This window comes from Homo sapiens, chromosome 5, assembly GCF_000001405.40.
Source record: "Homo sapiens chromosome 5, GRCh38.p14 Primary Assembly".
Lineage (NCBI taxonomy): Eukaryota > Metazoa > Chordata > Mammalia > Primates > Hominidae > Homo > Homo sapiens.
This window is the reverse complement of record NC_000005.10, coordinates 29,815,079-29,821,180: the sequence shown is the minus strand read 5'-3', so window position 1 is coordinate 29,821,180 and position 6,102 is coordinate 29,815,079.

Genomic DNA, 6,102 nt, shown 5'->3' with positions numbered 1-6,102 from the left:
ATTGCTTGAACCTGGGAGGCGGAGGTTGCACAGACAAATTGCCTGAACCCCCGAGGCGGAGGTTGCAGTGAGCCGAGATTGCGCCTAGGTGACAGAGTGAGACTCTGTAAAAAAAAAAAAATAAAAAGTTTGCATTAACTTAAAAATTCTCTGTTCTAAAGAATAGATTTCAGAATGTATATTTAAAACTTCTGGCAAAACGTAAGTGTTTGTTAAAACTGGGTTATTAATTCATAAGTGTTATTGAACTTCTTTGGTAAATGTTGGAAGTTTTTCATAATTTAAAAACTTTTATATTTAATTTCCTTAAAAATTCTATCTACTTATACCATGACCAAGTAGGACTTATTTCTGGAATGTAAGGATGGTTGAGTATATGAAAATAAATCAGAGTAATATCCTATATAATGAGAATGAATTTAAAAAACACATAAAAATCTCAATTGATGCAGAAAAAATATTTCACAACATTCAATACCCTTTCAAAATAAAAGCATTCAACAAACTAGAAGCAAAAGAAAATTACTTCGATATAAATAAGGTCATATATGAAAAACGTACAGCTATCTTGATGTTCAATAGTGAAAAATGAAAGCTTTTTCTCTAATATTAAAAAAGGACAAGGGTGACTTCTTTCACCACTTCTACTCAGCATGATAATAGAAGTCCCAACTAGAGCAGTTAGGCAAGAAAATGAAATAAAAGGAATGTAGATTAGAAATAAATAATATGATCTATTTTCACGAATGATATTTTATATGTAAGAAACCCAAAAGACTCCTCCAAAATAGTATTAGAACTAATAAATGAATTAAGTAAATTTGCAGGATATAAAATAAACACACAGAATCTGTTGCAATTCTATACATAACAATACATAATTGAAAAAGAAATTAAGAAAACAATTTATTTGCTTAAGGAAACATACCATTTTCAGTAGTATCAAAAATAATAAAAGAATTATAAATAAACTTATCAAAGGAGGCAGAAGACTTGCACACTGAAAACTAAAGAAAAGTTGCTGTAAGAAATTAAAGAATACACAAATAAGTGGAAAACATATCATGTTCATTGATGGGAAGACTTAGTATCATTAAGATGTCAATATAACCAAAAGCAAACCACAGATTCCATGTGATCCCAATAAAAGTTTCAGCAATAGTTTTTTGGCGGAAAGAGAAAAATTCATCCTAAAATTAATACAGATTTTAAGGGATCCCAAAGAGTCAAAAGTCTTAAAAAAGAAGAACTAATATGGGAGCTTCTTTAAAAAGAAGAACAAATATGGAGGTCTCACACTTTCTGATTTCAAAACTTACCATAAAACTACCATCATCATATAATTTGCTACTGGCATTAAGACAGGCAAATCAATGGAATAGAATAGTGAGCCACAAAAGAAACCTTCACATATATGGTGAACTGATTTTTGACAAGGGTGCTAAGACAGTTCAATGAGGGAAAAACAATCTGTTCAAAAAATACTGTTGAAAAATCTGGATATTAACATTAAGAAATGAATTTGAACCCATACCTTATACCATATACAAAAATTGACATAAAATGGATATAAGGCCTAAATGTAATAGCTAAAGCTGTCAAACTTTTAGAAGAAAAAGGAGAGATAAGCTACATGACACTGGATTTCATAATGATCTGTTGACTAAGACATCAATAGTACAGGCAACAAAATATAAAATGGATAAGTTGAACTTCATCAAAATTAGACTTTTGTACATCAAAGAATACCATTAACAGGGTGAAAAGGTAATCCATGGAATAGGAGAAAGTATTTGCAAATCATATATCTCATAAAGGATTGATATCCAGAATATATAAAGATCTCCTACAACTGAAAAAAAGTAATTAGTTTACTGTACAGAAGACTTGAGTAGAATTTTCTCAAGGGAGAATGTACAGGTGGCCAATGAACATATAAAGGGATGGTTGGCATCACTAACCAGAAATTCAGTTCAAGACTAGTATGTCATGCCACTTCACAACTACCAGAATGGCAACCTAGATGTCCATTAATAGTGGACAGGATAAAGAAAAATGTGGTACATATACATCACGGAATACTACACAGCCATAGAAATAATGAAATCATGTTCTTTGCAGCAACATGGATGCAGCTGGAGGCTATTATTACAAGAGAAATAATAAAGGAACAGAAAATCAAATACTTAATGTTCTCACTTTTAAGTGGGAGCAAAACATTGAGTATACGTGGACACAAAGAGGAAAACAATAGACACCAGGACCTACTTGAAGGTGGAGGGTGGGAAGAGGGATCATGAAACCATCTAAAGGGTATTGTGCTCACTACCTGGGGGATAAAATAATTTGTACAGCAAACCCCACGTGACACTCAATTTCCCCACGTACCAAACCTGCACATGTATTCCCTGAACTTAAAATAAGAGTTGGAAAAGAAAAAAAAAGAAAAAACCATAAAACAAAAAAAACACTGTTGTTAAAAACAACAACAAAAAGCCTGTAAATGACAGATCATGAGGATGTGGATATGTTGGAGATCTTGCTTTGCTCATTGCTGGTGGAAATATGAAAATTTCAATGGCTGTAAAGGACAATGTGGCAATTTCTTGAATATTTGTATGTGGAATTGCCATTTCATCCAGCAATTCCACATCTGCATATATACCCAAAGATGTGGAAACAGGACTCATATGGATACTTGTACACCCAAGTTTATGGCTCAATTTTTTTCCGTAGCCAGAGAGATGGAGGCAACCCAGGTTTCCATCACAGGATGAAATGATAAACAGAATGTGTTATGCCAATGTGGCAGAACTTTGGTCAACTTTGAAAGGGCAGGAATCCCTGGCACAAGCTGTAACATAGATGAACCTTGATACCATTGTGCTAGCAGTCACAGAAGGAGAATTGAATAATTCACTTCCATCAGTGCCTAAAATGATGAATTTCTAAGGGATAGAGAGTGTGGAATAGTAATTTCCCAGAACTAGGTGAGGGAGTTGAAATGGGGTGTTCATGTTTAACGTGTACAGAGTTTATTTGGGGAGATGGAGAGGTTCTAGTGATGGATGATAGTGGTGGTTGCACCATATTGTGGGTGTGTTTGATGCCATAGAGCTGTGTTCTTGGGGATGGTGATTTTTGGGTGGTGTGTATTTTTTCCAATAGAACAAATATTAATGAAATATAGTTTAAAAAAAAACTCCACTAACCATATATACAAGTAATATGTTTAGGGAAAAAAAAAACAGTAAGCATGGTTTCATACTTATATTTTTATGGTAACAAATTCAACTCTTCTCAAAAATATCTGGTGCTAAGCATGGATTTACATGCTCATTAATTAATAACATAGACTCCTCTGGGGACCTTTAAAGATATTCACATGCCCAATATGACATTAAAAAACAAATACTACTGAAAGAAAAAATAAGAACAAAACAAACAATACAATCATAATTGGTCATATTCTTATAGCAGTAGTCAGCAAACATTTTCCTTAAAAGGTCTAATAGCAAACATTACAGACGTTATAAGCCATACAAAATTTGTTGAAATTATGTAACTCATTGTAGTGCAAAAGCAGCCATAAACAATACATAAATGAATGAGGATGGCTGGTTCCAATAAAACTTTATTTACAGGGACAACCACGGCCAGCCCTCTGTTGTTTGCTGAACCTTAATCTTTACCATGCAGTAACTTTAATTTTTAAGATCTCCAGATTTTCTTTTGGCACACACCTGAGGCTAATGGCTGAATTTATCATAGGTACATTCCTACGAATTATACTGAGAAGGATTCCTTAAAAATTGTAGTAGTTATGATTGGTGTTGGAAGTCATTCTAGGTCTATTTCTCCCTAGTACAAGGTAAGGTTGTGTTTTTACATTATTTTTAAATTAAGCATGGTCAGGTGACATCTGTGATCAATGAAATGTGAGCACAAATATTACGTGTATTTTCATCAGGAAATTTTGAAATCCAGTTGCAACTTGCCATCTTGCTTTCTCTCAATTGTGATGGCTGCAGAAATATGTGTCCAGATTGAATCTCTGTCAGCCTAGCTTCCCTAGTGAAACTAAAGTAGAAAGCCCCTACAGTACCAAAATGGGCATATTTAATTGGTAAGAAACAAATTTGGGTTGGTTAAGCCAATGAGATTTTGTGATTATAAGTTATCACGGTATAAGTTATTCCATCTTGCTTGATATTACACTATTAAAGAAATAATTGTGCAATTTATAAATATTTTCATTAATTACAAATAATGGTTTGTTAATCTGAACCAGTGCTTAAAGGAAATACCTTTTAAAGAACACTAATCAGCTTTCATCTACATAGGTTTAGAGAGTCTTTATGAGGCAGACAACAGCAATGTCACATGGGATTTTGTAGTACGTACATATAGCCCAAACCTGATGTTTATTTGGAGAACTAATGTTGACTACTGGTATAAGAATATGACCTGATGTTTATTTATGGAGAACCATAAATCCACATTGATGTGACTTCTGTAACTTCTATTTATGTCTTGAAAATCTAGTAAGAAAAAATATGGAATATAAAATGCACATTTTTTTCATTACATCAGCTTGATTTCACTAGATCATCAATCTCTGTATACTCATTTTTTTCTGCTGCTCAGGTAATATGGCTGCTTGCTAACAACTTTAAAAACAGGAAACTTTGCTCATGACTTTTTTTAAAAAAATCACTTTTTCTACCTTATTGCGATATGATGGGCAAATAAATTTTATATATTTAAGGTGCACAGGTGATGTTCTGATATATGTATAAATTGTGAAATAATTTTCTCAGTTGAGCAAACATAATGATTACATGACATAGTTAATATTTTTTCTTTTTTTTTGCAGCGAGAGCCCTTAAAATTTATCCTCTCAACAAATTTCACATATAAAATGAAATATTGTTAACTATAGTTACCATGCTTACATAGATCTCCACACCTTATGCATCTTGCATAACAAAATTGTATACCTCATGTATCAGCTCATTTCTTCAGCCTCCTAGGCTGTGGAAATCACCATTCTACTCTCTGATTCTTTGAGTTTGACTATTTTAGATTCTAAAGTGAAATCATGCAGTATTTGTCTTTGCCTGCTTGGCTTATTTCACTTAGCATAATATCTTTCAGGTTTACAACTGTTGCCGCAAATGGCATGGTTTCTTTTTTTTTAAAGTCTGAATAATATTATATTATACACATGCACGTATGTGTGTGCATGTGTGTGTGTGTGTGTGTGTGTCAGGGTTTTTGCTTGCATACACTGACAGATGTTTAGGTTGTTTCCATGTCTTGGTTATTGTGAATAGTGCTGCAATGAACATTGGAGTGCAGATATCTCTTCAATGTACTGATTTCATTTCCTTTGGATATATACCGAAAGGCAGGACTGCTGAATCATATGGTAGTTTTCTATTTTTAATTTTTTGAAGAACCTCTGTTTTGTTTTTCATAATGGCTGCTCCAATTTACATTCCCTACAACAGGATGTAAGTCTTCGTTTTTCTCATCAACACTTCTTATCTTTCATCTTTTTGATAACAGTTATTCTAATAGGTGTGAAGTGATATCTCTTTGTGATTTTGATTTGCATTTCTTTGTTGATTAGTGATGCTGAGCACTTTTTCATATATCTGGTGGCAGTGGCACCAGGACTGTAAAGGTGGTGGTGGCAGCTCTGGTGCTGAAACAGTGGTGGCTCCGATGAGGGGATGCGGTGGAGTGAACTCTGAGCCGTTCCATCAGCTGGGCTCAGAGTCCACAGAGACCGTGAACGTTCTCAGGGGTAAAGACTGCAGGGCCCCTCTTGCTTTCTTTTTTCTCTCACTGGGGGCATGTTATGGCCATGAGGCTTCCTCTCAGAACCTCCTGTGCTGATCTGAGGGAGGAGGAGATGCATGTAATGCTTCCTACACAGTTCTTTTTCTTTTTTCCTCTCTTCTTTCCTTCCTTCCCTTCCTCCCTCCCTCTCTCCTTTCCTCCCTCCTTTCCTTCCTCCCTCCCTCCCTCTCTTCCTTCCTGTCTCTCTTCTCTCTTTCCCTTCCTTCCTTCCTTCCTTCCTTCCTTCCTTCCTCC